The 25,964-nt window shown below is 32.8% G+C and overlaps 1 protein-coding gene and 1 long non-coding RNA gene across 17 annotated transcripts in view; one reads left to right on the top strand and one right to left on the bottom strand.

The window, feature by feature from the left end:
* Positions 1–25,964, top strand: part of FBXW7 (F-box and WD repeat domain containing 7) — a 215,549-nt gene that overhangs the window by 177,858 nt on the left and 11,727 nt on the right. For 15 of the 16 annotated variants that reach the window (XM_011532085.3, XM_047415900.1, XM_047415902.1 and 12 more), the window contains 4 exons: positions 8,111–8,193; positions 11,164–11,305; positions 20,299–20,433; positions 25,516–25,639. In XM_011532085.3, coding sequence (XP_011530387.1) covers positions 8,111–8,193; positions 11,164–11,305; positions 20,299–20,433; positions 25,516–25,639 — 484 coding nt within the window. Of the gene's footprint in view, positions 1–5,408; positions 5,766–8,110; positions 8,194–11,163; positions 11,306–20,298; positions 20,434–25,515; positions 25,640–25,964 lie in introns of those variants that run through there. The other variant, NM_018315.5, reaches the window with a different exon arrangement.
* FBXW7-AS1 (FBXW7 antisense RNA 1) lies at positions 20,139–20,561 on the bottom strand. Its single transcript, NR_104273.2, has 2 exons — positions 20,498–20,561; positions 20,139–20,425 (listed from the first exon to the last, which is right to left on the bottom strand). It is a non-coding gene; the product is annotated as an FBXW7 antisense RNA 1 (long non-coding RNA).

Raw genomic sequence — 25,964 nt, 5'->3', positions numbered from 1 at the left:
CATATTTGTGGTTTCATTTTTCTTGAAGTCAAACTTACATTTTATACTTTTTTTCCATGATATCTGTCTTACTTTACTGAAGGTATTACTATAAGAAATTCACAATAAAATTTTGAGAGGAAACTTATGAATTCCAAATGCTTATTGGTAGTTTATTTTGGATTTTAAGCATGAAAGATTCATTGCTTTCTGGATAAATCAGTAAACTCCAGGGTGACTTGCTAACTTTGTTGTCAAATTATTGCACTGATGCCGGCTGTCTGTGAAAAAGTAGAGGATGTTGACTTAGTATTAGTCTGACAGCTCTGTAACAATATAAATTTTAGAGGAGCGAATAAAACCCCCATATTATTTTATTCTGTGGCTGGCATAAATAGAACTCTTAACTTGCACTATTGGGTATGAATTATGTATGTGTGTATATTTATATATTTGTAGATAAATACATTTGTGCATGTGTCCATCAGATGACTAATTTGGCCCAATCTGAAGGAATGAAAAAACTTACACTGTTGGAACTAATACTGCAGTTGATTAGTGTGTCACACTAATCAGAGGCTGTGTCTTTGTAAGGAGAGTTTTAAATAGCTTAAACTTCAAGAATTAAAACTTCTGGCCAGGCACGGTGGCTTACCCCTGTAATCCCAGCACCTTGGGAGGCTGAGGCGGGCGGATTACTTGAGGCCAGGAGTTCGAGACTAGCCTGGCCAACATGGTGAAACCCCATCTCTACTAAAAATAGAAAAATTAGTGGGGTGTGGTGGCACACGACTGTAATCCCAGCTACTTGGGAGGCTGAGTCATGAGAACCTCTTGAACCCAGGAAGTGGAGGTTGCAATGAGCCGAGATTGCGCCACTGCACTCTAGCATGGGCAACAGAGTATGACTATGTCTTTAAAAAAAAAAAAGAAAAAACTACTACTTCTGTAATTATATTAAAATTTATTTAAAAGCAGTCAGCTATAACATTTTGATTTGCAGCTTGATTTACAAAGGTTTGGATTATATATATTATAAACATCCCCTTCCCCCCAAAAAATAAGTTTAAGTAAAGTAAGATTATCTATTACAGTGTTTAGTGTTTGGGATTTTTTTCTAAGGCACTAGTGTCACAGTATTTGTTTACTTAGATGGTAGTTTTGAACTAAAGCTGGCTCATCTTGTTTTATTTTACATGTTCTCAAAAATTTTTTAGAACTAATTTCAGTATGAGTTCTAACAGTCAGATGTTTGTGTATATTACGTTACACTATGCTCTTGTGTTAATTGACTGTATTTCCAATGGAGAAAGAACAAAGTTTCAATTGATGTATATAATATTCTGTGCCCAACACAAAGTAGGTGCTAAACAAATGCTTACTGAATGAATAAATATGGAAAATTGCTTATTGGCCAATACTGCCACCTATTTGTGTTAGTGAAAATGTAAATGCTGGGCATATATACTATTCCAGTTGATATCTGTAATAGAACAGGTTTATTAGTTTGCCAGTTTTAATAAGCAAACCTTTTAATAAGCACTCACATCCCAGAAAGTTAATGACAGTGAGTTAGTGAAATTTCAAAAAGTATTTCAGTCTCAACATGCTTGGCATTCCTTTCATTGATGTTGAAATTTTGAACTGTCTGTAATTTTGAACTGTCTGTAATCTAAATTCTGTGCTCAGGGCAAGACAGCTAACTGTGGTGGTTTCCTAGTCCTTTCTAGAGTACAAAGTGTTGTCATGATAATAATAAAATCACTGACATAGGAATATAAACACATTCTCCTACTATTATAAAATGGAAGTGTATTTTTAAATGTTAGCAAGGTAAAGAAAAGAACTAATAGTATTCATAGTATTTTCCACTAATTATAAACTTTTTAGTTGAGTTAAACTTTTTAGTACTGATTGTAATATATGTTTAAGCTTTAGAAAAATAATGCTGTGGTTTCTGATATTTGCTTGTATGGCCAATTCAAAAATATTAATTATTTGTTTTGTATCATTTTCTGGATGCCCTAGAAATAAATTTGAGTAAGATGTGAATCTTTAGGGAGGAGATAGGGGAGAAAGATGTATAAAAATAATGACAATGAACTATGATAACTGCAGTAATAGAACTATATATAAGACGGAAATAATGAACTCTTGAGAGTCAAGGTGAGGTAAAGTACTCTATTAACTACATCCTTTATGTTGACATTATATGTAAAGATAAGTATTTCTCTGAAGATACATGATTCGCTTAAGACCATTTGTGTATATTTTTCTCACTGTATATACACTATTTTTTCTTTCTGCTCACAACCACAACTTGCCCTTCTAAAAACTTAAGTCGTCCCAATTATTTGTTCAGAGCTCTGGTAGGAGCTCACGGGTTAATGATTCTATGGCATCATTCCCCAGAGGCAAACATATCATCATATATTTGTGTTGTTTTTTTTTCCTCGTTACTTCTAACTTCTATGCTAGCACACTAGTTCCACTTCTACACCTAGCACAGTGGAGTTGTGATGAGATGAGCATTGGGTCTGAGTTAGCAGATGGATTTTATTCCAGGACCTTATTGTTGGTCATTCCCTTTGCTAATGGAATTTCAATAATGCTTCTAGGTTGTCAGTCAACACAAGAATTAATTTTTTATAGAATGGGAGAAATGAGTGCCTAGCTGAAATTCCATGAAAATTATTGTAATGAAAATATATTTAATATAGTGAAATAGTAATTCTAAAAATATAGATGACAAACATTTTCTTAGCTGTTTGGTTGACTAACTTAGCTATTTGGTTTCTTAGCTATTTGGTTGACCTTCTTTCCTGTGAACTTACTACTTAATATTTTAGTGTAAGGCATAAAATACTTTAAAAAAACTTATTTAACATAGATAATAGACTGATCTAAAGTTTAAAATGTTTCTTGTCACAGAGATAAGATAGATAAATACAGACACAAACCCATAAAAATTTTTAAATATTATATTACCAAAAACTTAAATCTGAATAAAGTTTCAAACTATATTTTAGCCGAGTGGTATAAATAGAAATGCAAGTGATTTTATTTGCTTTGTTCATATTAAGATTATGATGACAGTAATATAATAGATCACAGTTTTCATTGATAGTACGTCAGAGAATGTTGAAAATCATTTTTATTCTGTTAATTTGAAATTCAGTTAGAAGCTTAGTTGACTAGTTTTGCTTGACAGATTCTTCACAGTTCAAATTAACATCATAAGATATTAGGGAGAATTGTTTAAATACTTGGGAAGACAAGGTCTTCATTAGTACTTATAAACATTCGCATTTCTCACTTAAAGGATAAACAATAAAAATCATTCCCAAATGGGAACCATGGTAGATGGAGGATATGTGGTAGTAGAAAGACTTCTCAGTGTAGAATTTTTTGTATATCATTTTGATGTTTGAAGCATACAAACCTGGTAATAAAACATGGATCTACAGGACAGTACCCACATACAAACAATATTTGTAGGGAACAGGTTTTCCTGTAACTCACAGCCCTAAGTAGGAGCCATATAACCATGGGAGCAGTCCTTTGAATATACAAAGTTAAGAGATATTTTCTTTAGGTTTTGAGACAGTATCCCCTACTTCATTAAAGTTGGTCTCTTCTTAACTGAGTAGATTTAATTTGAAAAGGTTAGTTCAACTAGAAATAGGACATGATTTCAGTTGAAGCCAAAGTATATACTATTATAGCACTAGTATTACACGTGTCTTATGGAAAACTTGTTACCACTGACAAATTCTGGATGAAATTTCAGGTGTTCTCATAGCCCAGAACATTGAGGAAAATCACCTTTTTTCCCCCTTTCCTAAATCTTGAGTCCTCAGAACTTCTGACAAAAGAGTTTATGGGTCCATTCCTAACAATTAGATTTTTTTGTTTTTTTGCTTCCCTTCGAAGTGAGATTATTTAGATAACTAACTTCTGCTGAGTACATATACATATTGTTCCTGAGGGTAAGAATTAATTTAAGAGCCAGGTAGGAGATTTTTTTTAAAGATAAGTAGACAGTAGAATATAATTTCTAGAAGACTCAAGATGTACATCTTCATAAAATTTTACGTTATCTTAATTTCATTTATGTTTTAAAGTAAAAGATGTTGCATTGACATAATGTCTTAGTTATAAAGGTAAACATTTTTATTTTTAAAATTATGATACTACTTTATGCAGTATTTAGAACCATTTTACTAAAGAAAGCCATTTACCACCATAGCAGAGAGTATTAAAATGTTAGTAAGTCCAAATGGTTGTTTTGTTTTGTTTTTCTGGAGAAACTTACTTCGAATAGTGGTAACTATAGGCACACAATTTACTTGTAATAAAGAACACTAATGGGGAGGGTAGGAGTAAATTAACTAGAACCTTAATAATGGGCTTTTCTAGCTCAAGGAATCTTATAATTGTCCCTGAAGGTAGTTGTGAAGGAAGTTGCAAGATGAAATATCTAGATTTGTGTAGTAGTCATTCCAGGAAAAATGTTGCCTTCTGGCAAACTTTGGCATCTTTATTATGTAAAATGCCTTTTTAATGATAAGCAATATAGATTGTCAAAATAATTTTGGAGATAGAAGTCTAGTGCCTCCTGTTTACTCCAGATTAAATTAGCAAATAAAAGTAAGCCTCTCCAGCCAGCACAGTGTTTGCTCTTTTGGGGATAAAATAGCCTTTTGGCCAAACTTTACACACTTAGGTAGTACTAGTTTGTTAATCTTACAAAGATATTCTTATGATTAGTAAGAATTGATGAAGTGTATGGCAATTTCCCTGAAAATTACTATGTTTTAAAGGATTGAAATGGAAAAGCATAGGCAATGTTTTTATTAAATCAATACCAAAATACGCAGTTTGAAATATAACTTAGATTACATAATTTCTGCAAATGCTGTCGGCTCCAAACCAGTTTACTTTATTGTCAGTCAACCCCAGAGTATATTAATTTCTCTTTTCGGGATTGCCTGTTTTGTACCATCCAAGCTACTTGAAAAATCTGATTAGTCTGTGCCAGGACTACGGTAGGATGACAGTGAAAATAGCATGCTTTGCCTCAGTTCAGGGGGACCGTATGAAAATATATCCTATTTTCAAAATGTTTCTGAAAAGACTTATTTGTGGAAATGTTCCTTGCTATTTAAAACTCTTCAAAAATGCAGGTTTTACAAAATACAAAAATAACCTCTTGAAAGTTTGAAAGGGGAGAGGGGGCTGTCGTGTGGGGGCGGTCTCTGCTGCCCACATCCTCCCTCTGTTCAGTGCGTTGTGTTCTTACGGGTTCCCTGGAGCGGATCACCATATAATTGATGTGCAGTCTGCATTGCTGAATCCTGGACTGCACCATTCTGTGTTCAAGGGAAGATGTAATCTGATCCCTCTGCTGCTGAGGGAGGAATCTGTTCAGTCAAGGCTTTGACAGGGCATAGTCTCCTCCAATAATCTTCTCCGTTCTCTCTCATTATTCCCTCGAGTTCTTCTCAGTCAAGCTGCATGTATGTATGTGTGTCCCGAGAAGCGGTTTGATACTGAGCTGCATTTGCCTTTACTGTGGAGTTTTGTTGCCGGTTCTGCTCCCTAATCTTCCTTTTCTGACGTGCCTGAGCATGTCCACATTAGAATCTGTGACATACCTACCTGAAAAAGGTTTATATTGTCAGAGACTGCCAAGCAGCCGGACACACGGGGGCACAGAATCACTGAAGGGGAAAAATACAGAAAATATGGGTTTCTACGGCACATTAAAAATGATTTTTTACAAAGTAAGTAAGCTGTTTTCTTCCTATGCTATGTGATTGTGTGTGTATGCCTGCCTGAGAAGGAAAATCTGTATCATCAGAGATGGCTGCAGTATCCTCTAATTTTGGTGGGTGGCTGGATGTCTGGTATTCTGTTTTATATCATGAATGTAAGCAAATAACGGAAAGACTGTGAGCTGGAAAAAGCTTTAAATTTAAGATAAAATGTATATTTTAATCTGAGAATTTTTCACTAAAAATACATTGAGACTTTAGAAATGTGGCTCTGTTAAATGCTGACCTGGAAATACTCTATCCTTAGTTGGCTTTTAGTGAACCTTTTGCCTTCAATTTTTCTATACCTTGTATACAGTTTTTCTTTTTTCATTAGTTGACTCTTTAAAAGTATAGAATCATGAGACTATTTGGGATTTATATTTAAAGAGATCATGTTTACTTTCTGTACCCCTCAAAAATTGCAGAATTAATTTTTGGTTCTGAAGTCAGTATTTTCAGTAAACAGTACAGTATTTAAAAGACTTCTATAGTCATACAGAAGGTGCTTTCCTTTATAAAATATTTTTAAAATAAAATCCTTTCTCAGTGGTTTCCTTGATACACATTTTGGGGCATGTTTATTCATTGAAGGATTTCTAAGATGGAAATAAAGTTTGCTTTTAGTGGCAAATGGTATTTGCACCAATGTTTTTTACAAGGTATCCTGGGAAGTTCTGAAAGCCAGTATTACAAACTTAATTAGAATAAATATCAAAGTTTCTCCTAATTATGAAGATAAGAATTTGTGGAAGTTATCAAAAAACTAGATTTTAACATAGTCTGTACTGACTGACCTTCCTGATGGATTCATTTGCATGTATGTTTATATATATATGTGTGTATCTATAAATTATATACACGGAAACACGTGGCTACCTATATACTTCAGCTTTTATATTTATATTTGCTTTTTAATAAAATTATTTGGAGAAAGAAAATAATGGTTTCTGAGAGGAATCACTTTAAAACAATGTAATGAGTATATAAACTTCTAAAGGGAAGAAACCAGCCAGATCAATTCCATTTCTTTCCAGTAGGTATGGCATGAACTAAGGTATAAATTGTAGGTGAGCTTGTTGTACCCTCACCTCTAGCCCCTAATGTCGTAAGATCATCCTAGTATTTTAGAAAACTCTTCGTGATGACAAAAACATGGTCTTTATTATTCAGTGTGGCTCTAAAACATTTTAAGTCTCTTTAGTATTTATATTGTATCATGCTATGTTATGATGTTCCCATGTAAGGCAAGAGGTAGGAAAATAAGGCTGCTGCAAAGCAAGGATTTTTACCTACTTATAAACATGAGGATAGCTCTCTATCACTTTGGAGTGTTTTTCCTCCTATAACTTGCAGTAATACAGTGATTAATTAGTGGACACAAATCTTAAAAAGGGGTTGTTGAAATGGAAAAAGTCAAATCTTACCAGATTTTATTTTCTAGTTTTAAAATATACATATAGTCAAATGAGAATATTTCAATATTGATGTTGACAAGAAACAATTCTGAATATATTTATAGTATAACATGGCATAATGAAACACCTTAAAATGTAGATTTTGGATACACCTTATAGAAGAGGCATAACTGATTCTTTTAAAACCTTTCTGTTGTTGCTTTTCAAATTAGAATATTTTGTCCTGAGTATCTGTCAATAGAGCTATATTCTGTATATATATCAATTGACAACTTTCCCCTCAGCGTTATTATACTATCTCCAGATTTCTCTTATTATTGATTTACTTTTTAAAACTGTCCTTATTGCCCATATTAATTGCTTTATGCCTTATCACTATTCAAGATTATTTATACTGCTCTTTACCCTCTTATAATGGTATGAGTGTTTAAAATTGAGTTTGTTACTTTCATAATTATTTCTGATTTTACAATTTTGAATTTTATCTTTATTAAAAACATGTTTTTAAAGAAAAATGATTCACGAGGAAGGCACGTTAAATATGATTATTTTCTGTGTGGATTAACTTGAGATTTTTCCCTATGTTGGTTATTAAATTGGAAAACATGAAAGATATATTATCTCAAGGAATATATATATATAATGAATATCAGTTTTCAAATCATCACACACTGTTCTTCTGGATAAAATATTAGGGGGGAAAATTCACCTTTCCATTCCATTCAGAGTAAAACAAAGTAGAACAAATAGAAGAAACTATGAAACATTTATTTTATATATTTAATTAACATTGTAGGCATATGAAAATTTAAGAATTTAAAATATTAACCATGCTGACTCAAGATTTGATAGTTAGACGATTTTTAAAAAACATATCTTGTTTGTTTTACCTTATAGATGAAAAGAAAGTTGGACCATGGTTCTGAGGTCCGCTCTTTTTCTTTGGGAAAGAAACCATGCAAAGTCTCAGAATATACAAGGTAATATTAAATATAATGATTATCTCATGATTCTCAGTTTTTTAGAGTTGATTCTGAAAGTGTTTTAGTTTATTCTTGTAGAATAATAATGTTACTAGTACGGTTGACTGTTTAACACATTTTGAGATTACCGGAAATTGAGAACTATATCATTTTAAATAAGAGGAATGCCACCTTAGTTTATGTTTTGTTACTAATACATTTTGAAGTAGGACACAAGCAGAAATTATCTTGTGAACAAAAATTTAAAATTACAATTTTTAAGGAATTCTAAAAAGTAAACCATAAAATATGAATATGAGCCCCTGTGTCTTGTTACTATAGGAACAGCTGTTCTAGGGTAGACATTTATGTATGGAAATTTGAAGATACATTTATTAGCAGTGAAGTAAAACAATTACTAACTCAATCTTATTTCATGAAATTAATGTGTTAGAAATTTTCTTTTATGGGCTTGGTAGGTCTTAAGTTTTTAACACATACATTTCTTTTCTATACCAGTAGAATAGTTTCCATAACAATGAAACATAATTGTAATCTTTTTCTACTTCAGTCCCCATTATTTTTGGATTTTACATCAGTATAAAACTTTTCCCACTCTCACAGTTATTAGGCTAACTTAAGCACAATGTCTATTGCCCAGCCAATTAAAAGTGGCTTTGAATGTCACTTGGAATGTCGTATTTTAAAATTTAAATGACAGAAGTATCTTAGAGCTTTTTTTTTTGGTCTTTAAAACAGAATTTTTTGTATAATTGCCAGTTTTTAAAATAAGTGATTGAAAGTTAACAGTAGAAACCATAAGAACTTCATGGTTATGACATTTCTTCCTTTCTCTCAAAATATTTCAATTTAGTTATTTTTATTCTATAAGATGCACTAAAATTAACATTGCTCAGATATAATTTTTTTATTGAACATTGTTGCAGATTGTGCCTCTTACAGAGAAATAGCTTGTTTTTATTTCAGTTGTAAAAAATATTTCTTTCAAATGCTGCTTTATGAAATTTGAAAATCATCATAATTGGAATAGTCTTACATTCAAAAAGTGAAGAGATAACACAGAAAAGAAAAATAAAGCTATCTCTTATTCAGGAGCTGCTTTTCGGTGTGATTTTTCTTATGTTAACTGTCCCCCTTCCTGTTACTCTTTGCCTTTTGACAGTTTTACTGTGTTTTGGCACTTCCACCAGAGGGTGTGGAGGGATAGAGAGACAAGTGAAACTATTCACTTCATTTTGCTTTTCCCTTCTAGTCATGATAAAGTATTTCTTGGATGAGAAATTTGCATTTAATGTTAAACTAACTGTTAATGCTATTTTTTAAATGTATCAGTCTTCTATTAATATGGCTGATACCAGGACAAAGGTATTACATTGTTCACTTGTTTTTAAGGCAGCTTAGAATAAATGAGTGCTGAATTTTTATTACAGAACACATTTTAGTAAAATTTGTCTTTAGTTGCTCACTTTTTATATTGACAAAGCAACTGAAAAGGCAGAAGTTTTATTTTTAGCCTGTTAATATATAATTTTATTAAAGCAAAATTAGACCAAACAGCATATTTATTTCCATGTTTTTCTGGAGACTCTCGGTTAGGAAGGTATATATTTGGTATTTTGTGATATTTTTGACAGATTTGCTAATAAGATAAAACTATGATTTTTCCATCAAAAATTTGTTATAAACATATCCTATTTTATTTTGGAGGAAAAGAAAATAGAACTTACCTTTGAATTTGAAAGAAGAAAAGATAGATTTAATTGCTGAATGTTAAAGATTGTCTTCGATTTATACTATTAGAGGATTTAAAGGGAGTAGATAAGAAGACTTTTCTGTAAAATCTGGTGACTGAGATACATTTTTTAACAAAATAATGCTGGATAGAAAAAAACAGCTGGAGGAGTTGTTTCATTAGTAATTTATCAGAGTTTGATTGTTAACTATTACGATGCAATTTGTAAGTGTTCTTTGAATTTAAAATAATTAATCAACATAGCTCAATGAATTGAGTGAGAATTTCTTTTCAAATATAATTTTGTTAAACCAGACCTTCCTGCTGCTTTTTTTCCAAGGTCTTTAAAATGGATACCCAATATTTACCTTGAGTTTAGTTTAATTACATGCAGAAATTAGAAAGGAAAGTTTAATACGTTAGTAATATAGTTATATATTCTTTCTGCTATTAATTGGTCATTTTTAGGGTAGTTAGTTTTAGAGAGATCATCTAGTCGTCCTCATTTTACTAGTGGCAGAATTGAATTTCAAGTTTGTTTGAGACAGTTAAATCTCAAAATTTAAATTATTGTATAAAAATGTTTAGATGATCTTATTTAGTTTTGCATATAAGTTCTTAATACTTACCTGTTTTGAATAAATGTATTTCTAATCAAGACTGAGTCCTGTCAACTATTCAGACCAAACTTTATAAATAGCAGTAAAAAATTAGAAATATTATAGACAATTTTGAAGGCATCTGAGGCAAACTTAAGGAATAATGTGATTCTTGAAATTCAAAACATTTGAACATAGTATTTCTATGTCTGAGTTTTTTAAAGCTTTAATAAAGTATCACAACCCTTTTTATAAAGAAAATTTAAACTTTACTTATGTCACCAAAGACCAGTCATAGGAGAAGTGGGACTTGTATGTTCTAAGGAAATATTTTAACTTTATTTGTATATATTAACAACTTGCAGTTTTGTCATGGAGATTCTGTTATTTGGTTGCAATTAGCATTTCTGGGATAATAACAGGCGTTATATAGGAGGGAGGAAACTTACTGTAAGAATAGCAAATAGGTTTTGTGTACCTGTGATCTCTGGGAAGAAAGGTAATTAATTGATGTTTGAAATATGCCAGATCATCATTCTTTGTACTAGAATCTATTATTAATAAGTATCTATCTTTGCTTTCACTTTTGTTTTTTTCCTTTTATCCTTTCTCTCTCTCTTTTTTTTTTTTTTGTAGTACCACTGGGCTTGTACCATGTTCAGCAACACCAACAACTTTTGGGGACCTCAGAGCAGCCAATGGCCAAGGGCAACAACGACGCCGAATTACATCTGTCCAGCCACCTACAGGCCTCCAGGAATGGCTAAAAATGTTTCAGGTGACATATCTAAACATAGTACTTGAAATGCCTCACTTAATTGCTGCAAAATAAGGGATTATTCATCCGTAAAAAAAGAAGGAAACACTGTTACATAGTATACTGTGGATGAATTTTGAAATCATTCTGCCAAGTGAAAGAAGCCAGACACAAAAGGCCACATGTTGATTCTCTTTATATGAAATGTCCAGAATAGGCAAATCCATAGAGACAGAAAGTAGATTAATGGTTGCCTGACAATGAGGGGAGGAGAAGGACTAACTGCCAGTAGGTACAGATTGTCCTTTTGGGGTGATGGAAGTGTTCTGGAATTGGATAGTAGCGATGGTTGCACAGCAAGGTGAATATACTGGGAAGCACTGAAGTATATACTTGAAAATGGTGAATGTTATGTGCTGTTTATTTCAATTTAAAAATGCTATTAAAAACAAGGGAACTCAATTTTTGAATGTCATAATTGAGAAAGTCCAATACTTATTTGTGTAACTGTGCACTGACATTTTTTTTATTGCTTTTTAAATAATAAGACCTTCCTTCATCTTCTCCTTTGTTTGAATTTCTGGGTTGTCTAGTTTTCTAAACTGCATTGCTTGTAAGTTAGGCATTTAAGAGTAATTTAAGAACCATTCTAGCTAGAGTTAATACAGCTTCTTTTCTTCAGTGCCATGCTTGTATATGGCTTACCATGCTTGAATCCTGATTACTATATTTTAATAGTATTTATATTCTTTGGATGTGTACAGGGAAGATTGGTTACAACCAAACCCTGAATATTATGAACTTTATAACCTAAGATAGTGATATTACATTGATTTATCTCTTCTTCCAGTAAGATAATGCATATACATCAAGTGTTTAGCAAAATACATGGCAAGGATTAAGTACTTACTCAATTATTTGTTGCAAATAATAAATAATATAAATTATGTAAAGTAAAAAATATCTGATATTAGCCTCCATAGTAATGTAAAAAGAATATACTACCCTACCTCTGGCTGCTTGAATGGTTAGGTATTTAATCAATGCATAAGGCAATAATCGTTGGTAAAGATGATACTTTACTTGACTTTTAGTGTTTCAGATTTTTAAGGTGTTCACTTTGTAAACCCTAATATTTTAAATACCTAGATGAATATGAGATAAATGTGTCTATTTTTTTCTTCTGTAGGTAGAAAACTAACTTGGAGCAGTATTGCTTTTAAATGGTTTTTTAAAATTGTTTTCTACCCTTCAGGTGATTTCTGCAAAACTAGGATAACCTTTTTTTGGTTGGTAACTGAAAGATTTAAGCCTTGCTCTCAACAGGGATTAGTTTTTCCCCGCGTTGAGACAAAAGTGTCTCAAGACATTTTTCATTTTTATAACTGAGGGGATGGGGCGCAGGACACTGCTGGCATCTAGTAAGTAGAGGCAATACAAAGGACGATCTCCATGCCAAAGAATTATCCAGCCCAAAATGTCAATGGTACTAAAGAATCTGGGTTAGAGGAATGAAAGTTAGATTTTATTGTTATTAAAATGTTATAAGCCACTGTAATTACAAAGAATTTTTTTTAAGTTTTCATTTTCATAGTCATTTGTTGATTAAACTTACCTTTTCCCCAGGGATTATTCCTACCCTTCCTCCTGAGTTATTTTGCCTCTGGTTCATGATGGTTTGTAAAATGTTAATTAATTTTTATTTTTTCCTATGCACACCCTCAGAATTCTAAATTTTTAATTTTGTCCCATCCTTTTAAAAGGAAATTTATCCGTCAATAAGAGGCGAAAATAAAACTCGGACACTTGTATAGCCTTAAAAAAATAATTTAAAGATTTTTATCATCTCTGATTAAGCCAAAGAGGTAGGAATATGGTTGTATGTTGCCATGCTAACACATGCATGTAGTGTGAACAGCATATATCATTCTGATTTCATATCACATGATTTCACTGATTTCATATCATTTTTATAAGAAAATACCAACATGATTGAAAATTACACTATTAGCAATAGTTTTATCATCATTGTAGATAACCTCCAAAATGCTTATTTTATATGAAAAGGCTTATTTCTTTTCAGAAGGTAGTTCAGAGTAAGATTTACTTTTTCTGTGGTAGGGCTCATTTTTTCCAACGTTTTGGAATACCTGAATATTCTTTGCTTGCTATCTAGGATATTTCTCAATTTTAAAGGGACTCTGTAGTATTGATCTATAGGAAGAGGCATTTCAGCTTTATTTTAGTCAGGATATTTTAGAGAGTTCATTGTACACCGTTTGCTTGTTTAGCTAGCTTATGCTTTTTAAATAAAATGTCCAAATGTTACCGCATGCTGTATTTCATCAAATCTGAGACACCATAGTTTTTTTAGATGCATTCCAATTTCGGAAATGTTAATGTGAAAAAAAAAAAAACTGTATTCAATAAGCTAAAGAATGTTAGAATAGCTTTTGGTCCTGTAAAAGGAGTAGGTGCAGTGAAGAAAACATGTTCTTAGTTAACAGGAATAGCATGTGGAATTACCCCTGCAGGTATAGTATTATATACATTTTTTTCAGATAAATATTCTGTAGCAAAGAAATCTGTAGCAACAAAAGGTCAACTGGACAGGTAGATCAGGACCTTCATCTTTTGAGTACCATGTCTGTCTCTGACACACCCAAGGCCTCATTGTTGTACACTGCCCTTTATTTTCAGGGCTGGTCCCAGAGTAACTAGAAATGATTCACTTGCCTAAAGGCTTACTGTGCTTTAATGTCTAACTTGTAGAGATATAATTTCATAATAAAGTGGGGAGTCATGAGTTGACCTATGTGAGAGAGTTGAGGGATAATTAAACTGGCATGTTTTCTACAAATATACTGTGGGGGCATTTCATGATGACTTTTCTGTTGCATAATAAGCAGTATGGGAGAGCTTGTCCCCTTACTGTTCTGCTATTGCTCCTAAGGCAGTGATACAGCATTGCTTTGGTCCAGTTCCATCTATTCTGACAAAGTACTCTGTATTCTGTTTATAAATTGAGTATGAACAAATGATATTCCATTTTGCATAAAAGAGGACTGAAACAGAATGCCACTAGAAAATAGAAGTGCAAATTAAAGACAAAAACCAAAAAAAAAAATAGAAAGTTTATACCATTTGAATTTTCAGTAGCCATTGATCCACTTTGTATGGCAGTCAGATTGATGCTTCAGTTAATTTAGGGAAGCGAGTTGGTCATTTTTTTGGCTTGTTTATATCATTCAGGTGCTAATAAATGGTTTTTCACTTAAACTTTTCAGACTGGGTAAAGACATTAATTACATGAACATTATCTTATATTGAAATTTGTATTCAGAAGCATCTTGAGAATAGCACAAATGACATAGAAGGACAAGTTCTTAGTTCAAATTTTGACATTGTCTCTTAAAAACAATAATTTCATTAATATATAACCATTCTTGCCTTTATTTTCACGCTCTATAAAACACATAACATTAAAAAGTTGTCAAAGGGGAAAAAACATGTACATCTGCTTAAAGTTATACTTGGAAATATATTGGAGACTCAATAAATGTTAGTTTCTTCCCTTGGTCAAGAAATAATCTTAGTGGACCTCAGAAATTTTCTCAGATCTAAAAAGGGACCGTTAACACTAGCTTCACAGTATTGCTATGAGGATCAAAGATAAAGTGATATGGAAGAACTTTAACCTTACACAGATGCCATTAGCTTTACATTATTTTAATTAAAGCATATTGGAATTAAGCTATTTATGTACTTTGAAAAGATGTTATACTAAAAATATTTTTAAATGATAAGTATAAAATACATGTGTTTTGATATTAAAAATGGAGAAAAAACTTCTCCATTGGAAGATTTAATTAGGTTTCATGGGAACACTTAGAAATTGTACATGTTCTCAAATCTACTTTATTTACATCTTATTTGCTAATCAACAAAAGATTAAAACCTACAGGATAGTGCCAAAATTGAATTTATTATTACTTTGAAATTGTATTTGGGACACAGTGATTTAAAAACCTTGTTTTGTGTGAAAGACTTGAAGAAAGTCATGTATTTAGCTAGAGAAGACCAGGAGAAAATGTGATGTCTGTTTTTAACATTTTAACGACTTTTGTATAAAAGTAGGAAAAGATTCATTCTTGGTTTCTTCAGAAAGTAAAACCTGAATTATGTTCTTTGAGTCAGATTTTGGCATTAAGTTAAACTTAGCAATTAGAACTGGTCCACAGTAGAATGGGAGATAATAAGTTACTCGAATCCTGGAACTGTTCAAACAGACTGGATAACCATGTGCTAGAGGTGCTAGAGAAGTGAGTTCTTTACCACATGAAATTCAGGTGCAGTACTACCCAAGGTCATAAAACAGTCTATCTAATTGAGACACTAAAGATCATCCAGACCAGTGGTTCCCAAATGCTGCTTTGTGAGTCATCTACATCAACACTGGATGAGTTGCTTGTTTAAAAAATAAAATGTCTTCAGCCACTGAATCAGACTATCTGCTGGCGGGTTTTAGAACTCAGTAATTCTTGCTGTCCTTGATCGGCATTTGGGAACCACTGGCCTGGACCAAGCCTCTCACTGTGTAGGTGGGTTCTCTGAGACTCAGACTCATTAAGAGACTTCCATGTTGTTCTACAGTGAGTTTCCTGGTGAAGCCCAGGCTCTTGATTGCAGTTTAGTGCTCCTTCTACTCTTCTCTACTACCTCTGTGCCCTAATTTACCTGAAATAAAACACCACTTCCATGGGGAATTTTCAAATTTGCATTTGCAATTTTGTCCTTAAATTAAAATTTGCTTCTGAACCTGGAATGTTTTTCCTCTCCCTTTCAATGTGTTCCAACATGGCTACCATGAAAGGCCAAAGGAAGTACTTTTTTTTTTTCTCTTTTCTGAGACAACCACTTTTCAAGTAGCAGTAAAATAATAATTAAAAGAATTATCCAACACTCTGCTTTTGCAGATAAACTAAGGCCTGAAGAGGTTAAATTGTAACCTAATTACAACGACAGTATCTCCTAAAATTATTTCCTGATCCCCAATTCAGTTATCTCTCAACTATTCTTCGTTAATTGTTGTTGTAGGTTGTTATTTCATGTACACATGCATGCGCGCGCACACACACACATACACACGTAGATAGTCATTAGCTGCAAGGTTTTCATGTTAATGTATATGTCCCTTGCTGCTAAATTGTATATATACAAAATTTGAAACCACTCTTGGAGCCAGAATAAGCAAGCAAGTCCTAGTGATACCATCAAATATAAAGAATAGAAACACTCTCTAGAGATAGAGTTGAGATGATAGCATTAATCTAGAGAGAGTATTTCCTGATTCTTTTGGGATTCATTTATTTATTCAGTAAACATTTATTAAGCACCTTTTCTGTGCTAGGCCCTACTTGGGTGTGGTATGCAATAGTGAATAAAACAGACAAAAAACACTTTTTCCTGAAACCTACATTCTAGTCAGAAGGGGATGAGGTGGATGAGTTTGGAACTGGTTGCAATTTTAGAGAGGTTGCTCAGGGAAGGAAGTAAGGAAGCAAGGCATGTGGGTATCTAGGGAAACAATATTCCAAGGAACAGCAAGGAAAGATGCTGTGAAGCTGAGTGTGCCTGGAGTGTTTACAGCACAGAAAGAGTGTGTATGGCAGAGCAGAGTAAATAAAAGGGAAAGTAATGGGAAAGTAGTGTGTTGTAGGCCAACCTAAGGACTGATTTCTACTTTGGGTGAAATGGAAAGCCATTAGAAGGTTTTAAGAAGGTTTAAGACTTTCTGACAGTAGCACTGAGTACAGTGTGGAGAATAGAACGAAGAGCCGAAGGTAGAAAGCTGGAAGACCACTTAGGGAGTTACAGGAATAATCTAGGTGACGCATACTGGTAGCTCAATCCAGTGTAGTAATAGTCAGATTGTGGATATATTTTAAAGTTTAAGGCTGTGAGTTCATTTGGATCAAAAGCATCTGATGGTGAAAGAGAGGGAGGGGTCAGGAATGACCAAAGACTTCTTGGCCTGAGTAACTAGTAAAATAGAGTTTATTTTACTGAAATGAGGAAGACTGTGGAAATACAGATTTGGAGAGAAAGATCATAGACATGTTAAGTTTCAATTACATATCCAAAAATAGATGTTGAAAAAGCAACAACATAATACAGGTCTGGAGTTCAGGAAGGACTCCAGGCTGGAGAGAGGAAAGCTGTTTTTATGGTCCAGATCTTTGTTTAGAATCACCAAAGAGATGTGATTTTAAACGATAGGACAGTTGAATATGTGTAGTCAGTGGAAACAGTCTCATTTTCTATTGCTACTCGTCTTTATCAGTGGTATCCTTTTTTTTTTTTTTTTTTTTTTTTGAGATGGAGTTTCGCTCTGTCGCCCAAGCTGGAGTGCAGTGGTACAATCTCGGCTCACTGCAAGCTCCTCCCGGGTTCACGCCATTCTCCTACATCAGCCTCCCAAGTCGCCGGGACTACAGGCGCCCGCCACGATGCCCAGCTAATTGTTTTTATATTTTTAGTAGAGATGGGGTTTCACCATGTTAGCCAGGATGGTCTCGATCTCCTGACCTCATGATCTGCCTGCCTTGGCCTCCCAGAGTGGTGGGATTACAGGCATGAGCCACTGCACCGGGCCTATCAGTGGTATACTTTTTAATAAGATAACACGAAGTAACATCTGCTGAGTATATAGATAATTTAAATTGAGACGTTTTAAATTGTCTCTGGTTCTTATTAAAGATTCTTTAAAACAAAATAAAAATACATTGTTTCAAATATTGTTTAAAGTCTTAGATATGTTTTGTTATACAGGCATAATTTTTTTCCATGTACTTTTTCTTAAATATATGGAAATTTCTAACACAGTTTCAAATATTTAGCTTAGGTCTGAATTAGTTGTTTATCATCTGTTCATCTGTTCTGTCTTCTTTAATTTCTACACCCTATCCTCCAAAAGCCTTGATAAAAGATATGTCTCATATATTAGCTTTTTTTTTTTTTTTTTTTTTGAGACAAAGCCTCGCTCTGTCACCTAGGCTGGAGTGCAGTGGCATGATCATAGCTCGTTGCAGACTTGACCTCCTGCCACAGCCCCCTGAGTAGCTGGGACTACAGGCGCATTCCACCATGCCTGGCTGATTTCTAATTTTTTTGTAGAGATGGGGTCTCGTTATGTTGCCAGGCTGATCTCAAATTCCTGAGCTCCAGTGATCCTCTTGCCTCTGCCTCCCAAAACTACTGAGATTACAGGCATGAGCCAACACACCTGGCCTAAGCTACATTTTAATCAAGTCAGCATAGTTATCCATCACTCCAAATGAGCATGTCCTTGTATTAGTGTCCATGCATTGTCTATGATGTAGATGGAGAGGTATAGCATATTATCAAAACCCACCTCAAATCCTGTGAGGGATGTGAATCAATAAATTAATGAGTTTGTTCTATTGATACCAAATGGAGAGAGATGAGTGGAGATTGATCACTATCAGTTATGTCAAAGAGGTAAGTTTTAAACCAGTGTTTGAAGTTATGTGAGAGAAACCAAACCAAACAAGGTAATTAAACTTCAAATTAACTGCTTTTAATTGGTCACGTGTGTACATATACATGTTTATGAGTATTTTACATTTCTTTGTATAATAAATCCCCTGACCAAAAAAGATACAATGTAAGACTCAAGGTGAATGTTCTGGATACATGTATTTGTAGAAGCAAAAGGAAGGGACACAACTGGTTGGAACCTGTATATCTTTAACATTAGGTGGTAAAATGGAATATACTATGGAAATAAATACCATTGAAATGTTTTATGGTATTGCCAATTTAATACATATTTTATGATAAGAAAGAAGAGAAGAAGTTCATTGTAGATTCCACATGGGTAAATACTTTAAAAAGTATTCCAAATACAGCTCCTCATATCCTTAATATATCTGTTGTCAATTATTATATATTTCATGTCTTGGATCAAGTTTTCTTGTTTGGACAAGAAATGGAATGGCAAAATCCAGATCTTTTTAGCTGAAAACCTCACCTATTCTCTATTCACCCACTTCTAAAGTGGACACAATAATTCTTAAAATGGTACTTAAATCAGTATAGATTTGCAGAAACAAAGGCCTGCTTAAGAATGTTCTTTCATTTAAGTATTATGAGGTTAATTAAATGTGTGAAATTGTAACATTTTGAATTATTCACATGGCATTTTAGTTTTTCCTTTTAAGAACCATGGCTTTTCTGTGCAGGTGTTCTTCACTGGGATAATGTTTTAAGATAATCCCCTGATGTCATTTAAAGGAACTCTTATTTCTGAAGCATGATTGTGTGTTTTTGTGTTTTTATAGTGTATCTCTTTCTTATCCTCTTTTGGCCTTTGTTTATATTCTCATTTTACCACTATCAGCTACTATTTTCTATTGTTGATTGTTTTTATTGTTTATTCTATTTTCTATTGTGTATTTGTTTTCACATAACAAATCAAAGCCTGTTTAATTTGTGGAAGACAGTTGTCAAATGTGTAATATATCCAGTTACTAATTTTTCTCTGATTGATGCTGCTCGTCTCCTTTCAGATGAGTGCCTTATTAAAACCATCTAATTTTATGGTGCTTACTAGAAAGAATGTAGAGAAATTGTCAAAATTTTCTATTATTTACTCAGTAACCCAAAATGATGTTTCTGGAATAAAATTTTGGCTTCTCAGTTAGTGACTTGGTGGTAGATGAACATATAACTATTATAATAATGTAATGAAAAAATATTTTTCTGTCAAACATGTTTTTTTTTAACCTTTTACGAAATAAAAGTTGTTGGTAAGTGATGAAATTAAATGCCTTCTTCAATGCCTTGTGGAAAAAATGTCACTATAAGGAGCCACTTTTTATACAGTTCTACCCTGATCAACTATGGTTGTGTGTAGATGTGAGTTTTCCTTTATAAGCCTGTAATTTGGGACATCTGTTAAAACAATAAAAATTTCTAATTCTCTTTGATAGAGCTGGAGTGGACCAGAGAAATTGCTTGCTTTAGATGAACTCATTGATAGTTGTGAACCAACACAAGTAAAACATATGATGCAAGTGATAGAACCCCAGTTTCAACGAGACTTCATTTCATTGCTCCCTAAAGAGGTAAAGATTATCAATTACATTCTTCATTGGGTGTTATTTGAATATATAACTCAACAGCTACCACCTTTAAACATTGTCATGCTAATTATGGTATTCGGTATTGTCAGTTTGACACTCTTAATTAGTGGTAAAGAGGGCTGTAAATTGATAAATTGCCATGACTTAATAATGTAATTGTCAGATTAAAGAATGCATGTGAACTAAGTAACTCCTTTCCACTATTTGAATAAGTCATATATGTGAGAGTAACTATTGAGTTTCACTAATTTGATTATTTATTTACCAAGATTTTTTTGTCAAGTTATTTGAAGCCCAACCTTTAGTTATCTTGGTATATTCATGATAGTAGATTTTTTAAAATTCTGACCATATTAAAATAGCAATATTTTTTCTCTTATTTTATTATATATCTTAAGTCCCTTCAAGACCAATAGGTTTATGATTCTATTGAATTCTAGTTCTCTGGTACTTAACATTGTGTAATTATTTTAAATACAAATATTATAATTTCACATGTGTATATTTTTCTAATCATTCTCCTCCCCATCTCCATTACACAAATACAGATTTCCCATACTAATTACATGCTAACAGCACTTCTTTGGGAATTATTTGTGCCTATTTCTTTTTATATTTTTATGTAAGCTGAAACTATCATAGACTGATTATATGGGCATTCATAACTATAAGGCATAGTTTAGATATAGTTCCTTTATTGATATTATAGACCTAGTAATTTTGTCAGTGAACAGAAATAATATAACATTAAATAATCAGCATCACCATGATTTATATTTTCATAAGTAATATGTATATGCCCCTAGTTATATGTCAGCTAAGAAGACAATATAAAATACTAACATACCATTTCAAATGATCCTGAAACTTCAAATTTGAACAGAAAAAAGTCATTTTTTTAAGATTATCATTCTAAATATCCTAATGGTGTTAAAGATAGTCCCAATTAGAATTGCACGTTGGATACGAATAAAATAGTTGTATCATATTTAATGCATGGAACTAAGCATAACTCCAGAGAAAAGCAAAGTGGAGAAAATCTTTTCTTCCTAAAATGTGTTTTCTACTGAGTGCTTTTTAAAAATGACTTTGGCCCAGAAGAAAATTTTTATTTTTGCTGGCTCATTCTAAAACTGAATCCTTTGAATAGATTTGGCTTATGAAAGTGACGTCAGCTCTCTTTGCTTCCAGAAGGGCATTAATAATGGGAAACACTTACATAAGTATTTGACTGAAAGTGATTTTATTCACCTTTGATATATTCTCTGTAGTTTACTTAGTGATATCCTCCGTATTTTAGAGGTTATCATTTTTGTTAAAATGCAGGCTTTCTCATAGTCTCATTTTTTCTCTTATTTCTAATAATGGTGAGGTTTTTGGTTTGTTTTGCTTTATTTGAATTTCCATAACTTCTTAACAGACAAAATGTTGTGTAAGATCAGAATATGAAAGTATTTTGAAAAATCTAAGAATTAAAAACAAATAATCAATAACCAGGGTAAATCCAGTAAAGATTCTCTCAGTTTAAGTGTTCTTTTAAAGACTGCCTGGGGAAAAATAAGTGAAATTAGTTATATAGGAGACTAAGGGAGAGCCTTGGTTTAGCATATCATCTGTGTTTCCCTCTTGTTTTCAACTACCAGAAAAAAAAATTCCTATTTTGAAAAATGCTTTATTGTCTAAGTGGATAAATAATGATATAGAAAACATTATCTTCTCAGAAACAAAGTATTATTATTTAAAACATTATTACCTTCTTGTCAGGAAATGGACTTATTTTTCTTATAATTCCTTTGGCCATATCTCAAAACTATTTACAAACATTTACTTTATTAATCTCAAAAAGCTTGACAGAAGTCTCACTAATTTCACACTAGAGGCTTGTGATGAATAGCATTGTCTTTATAAGTGAATACCAAGAAAATCATAATCATACAATAGATGATCTAGAGCAAAACCTGAAATTCTTAATAGAGGATTAGCCAACATTTAAAAATAATTTTTTTTCCTTGACTAGTTTAATCCACTGAAATACAGCAAGTCTGGGAAAATATTGGCTACCTTTTAAGTACAATGTGGTTGTCTTTTATATAGGTTATAGAGAAAAATAAAAGCAATTCTTACAGAGTTGGACAAGGAAAAGGTAATTATCTGAAATACGTTTCAATTCAAGAGCTTTTCTCTGGCAGAAGTGATCTTTAGGAAGAAATACTAATCTGGGTTTTACCTTTAAAACAAATGAATAGAAAACTGCATTAACTGGACCATTTGACTTGGCTGTAAGAAACCCATAACTCCCTACCATAGCGGTTGGACAGACAAGAGTCTCACTCTGTTGCCCAGGCTGGGATGCAGTGGAATGATCATAGCTCACTGCAGCCTCAAACTCCTAGGCTCAAATGATTCTCCTATGTTAGCCTCTTGAGTAGCTAGGACTACAGGCATGTGCCACCACACTTGGGTAATTTTTTTGCGGGGTGGGGGTGGTGGTAGGGGGGGATGTCCCTTTTATGAGAGTACTAATTCCATTCATGAGGACTCCAACCTCATGACCTAATTATTTTCCAAACACCTCACTTCCTAATACCATCACATTGAGGGTTAGGATTTCAACATGAATTTGAGGGAATATGGACATTCAGTTCATTTTAGAGCCCTACATGACAAAACCTTGCTTCCTTTGAGGGAACTGGTATACTTCCTCCTCATAATACGTAGTAAGAATCATGCAACTAATTGCTATTCTCTTTTTGGCTTGGCAGTTTAATTCAAAACCTTGTAAGACATAACCTTGTTGACAGCGTATTTGTGCTCTACTTTTTCTCTAGTTTAAACCTTCTTTTCTGATTTTTTAATTCATATTTTTTTGTTTTGCTTTGTGTATTTTCTGTATTGCTTAGATGTTTTGATGGAACTGGCTAGATGTAAATAGGCAAACATTTAATAAGTCGAAGTTCTTGGTTGAGTTAGTATCTTCACTACTTTTAAGGAAAGTGTGCCAGTAACCTGTAGAGTTAGCACTTCAACTTTCTTTAGCGCCTTAGTATTTCTTTATATTTCTCTTTAATGCACTGGACTAGATGATCTCATAATCACTATTAATGCTGGAAATTTTACCTGGTGATTTGGGGATGTACTTTTGAAATCTAAGCTGCTCTGGATTTGCTGTTTCCTAGTCTTTAAGATACATTGACTATTTCTGTAAATTACCTGATTTGTACTTCAGTTAGATAACGAAAGCAAAGAAAAGAATAGACTTTTTCTGTTTTTAGATAAATATTTTGGTCATTAATTAGCATCTCTTTTGCACAAATATTTTTATGCCTGATAGCTTCTATGTTAAATTACAATTCCACATAGATTAGTAATGGTAACACCACATTACTGCTATACTGACACAAAGCGAACTTGCCTAGGCTTTGATTGATTGGTAATTCCCAAATTAAGTAGCTTTTGGAGTATCTGTTAAGTACAATATTGAGACTATATATGTGTGAGTATTGTTGAATATAGTTACACCTTTTTATTTTAAATGACTCAGCTTCTCTACATAATACTGGTCTTCTCTGATATACCAAAAGTAATTATTTCACAAAAAGTTTTTCACTATCATTCATCAGTAGTAGTATTAAACTGAATATTGGCTGGTTGGAGTATTTTGTATATTGAATATACTCAATACATATGTAATTAATGATGAGTTGTTGTTGTTGTTGTTGTTGTTGTTGTTGAGACAGAATCTTGGTCTGTCGCCCGGGCTGGAGTGCAACGACGTGATCTTGGCTCACTGCAACCTCCACCTGCTGGGTTCAAGTGTTTCTTATGCCTCAGCCTCCTGAGTAGCTGGGATTATAAGCATGCACCACCACACCTGGCTAATTTTTGTATTTTTAGTAGAGATGGGGTTTCACCATGTTGACCAAGCTGATGTCGAACTCCTGGCCTCAAGTGATCCACCCACCTCGGCCTCCCAAAGTGCTGGTATTACAGGAGTGAGCCACCACACCCAGCCCATGATGAATTCCTTATATATGCAAAGTCATTGGGAAAGCATAATTTATATTATATACTTTACATTTAGCATCAAAAAATAATTAAAATTGTGCTTTTACTCCCTGTGTGACCCTTGACCCTTTAACGGATAATTTATGTTAGTTCTTGTCATTTATTTCATATGAAAACTGAACTTAATTGCTCTATTTAAATTGTTTTCCCTAGTATCATAATTTAAAATTTTATGTGATATGTGAGGCTACTTGAATAATCAGTCAGAGGCTATAATTCCCCTTCTTTCTTTTTTTTTCTCTTTATTTTTCCTTTTTATTTATTTGAACTGACACACTGAAAAAAAATCAATAGTTTATAAGTATTATAAACAAAGTTTTTAAATCAGTGGTATACCAAAGATTTAGCTCAAATATACAACTCTTATGTGGCCCATCAAGAAGATCCTTATAAGTAATATAAGGTAATCAGAACTCAATTACTTTTATATGTCTATGGAATGGTTTAATAATTGTCCCCCTTTGTCATTTACAGTCAAGGATGTAAGTGTTTCAGAAGTTCATTACAATAATAAACACTTTGATTTGAAGACTGTTAATTATGATATATATCTATCAAAAATGATCTGGAGTCATACCACACAGAATATATACAAATCTCATTTCTTATCTGTCAGGGAAGCATTTAGGTCCTATCTTCAGTGAATTTACATTGTAGTAGGATAGAGAAAAAAGTTAAACAACTAATAACATTTTTTTTAAAAAATTGAGTTGAGGCTCACAGAGTAAAGGCAAGAGCAGAGACAGAGAGGTTTAATAAGTAGTCCTTGAAGAGGGTAAAGAGTTAGTAGAGTGAAGTTCATAAAAACCATAAGGTGTGTGTGTGTTTTTTATCTGGTATATATTTGTTAGGACTGAAGTTACTGCCTTTCATAATTTTAGAAATCAGAGTGCAGAATTATATTTATCAAGTATCTCATCCTGTGGAGAATAATTAACTTATTATATAATATATATATTTATTTAAATATGGGTATTATACTATGCATTTTTTTCTTAGTTGGCACTCTATGTGCTTTCATTCCTGGAACCCAAAGACCTGCTACAAGCAGCTCAGACATGTCGCTACTGGAGAATTTTGGCTGAAGACAACCTTCTCTGGAGAGAGAAATGCAAAGAAGAGGGTAAGGTTCAAAATTGCATAGAGAATATGTTTATACTTTGAAAAGCAGAGTGATTCTGAAAACAAGTAGAAAAAATAAAAATAATATTCAGCTACTTATGATAAAATCCACAGATTATTCTACACATTCAGATGAGCCGAATCTTAACAGCTAACCCCTTTAACAAGCAATATAACTAATAGCAAATATATCTGATTTGCTTCCTATCACTAGTAGAATTAATAAACAATGAAAAAGTCAAGATGAGGATGACTTAAAGGAAACCCCGAAATTATATTTCCAATTAAATATCCAAATATTTAGTATTAATTCATTCTTTTCATAA

This window comes from Homo sapiens, chromosome 4, assembly GCF_000001405.40.
Source record: "Homo sapiens chromosome 4, GRCh38.p14 Primary Assembly".
Lineage (NCBI taxonomy): Eukaryota > Metazoa > Chordata > Mammalia > Primates > Hominidae > Homo > Homo sapiens.
The sequence above is the reverse complement of the archived record's forward strand: the minus strand, read 5'-3'. Positions and strand labels throughout refer to the sequence as shown.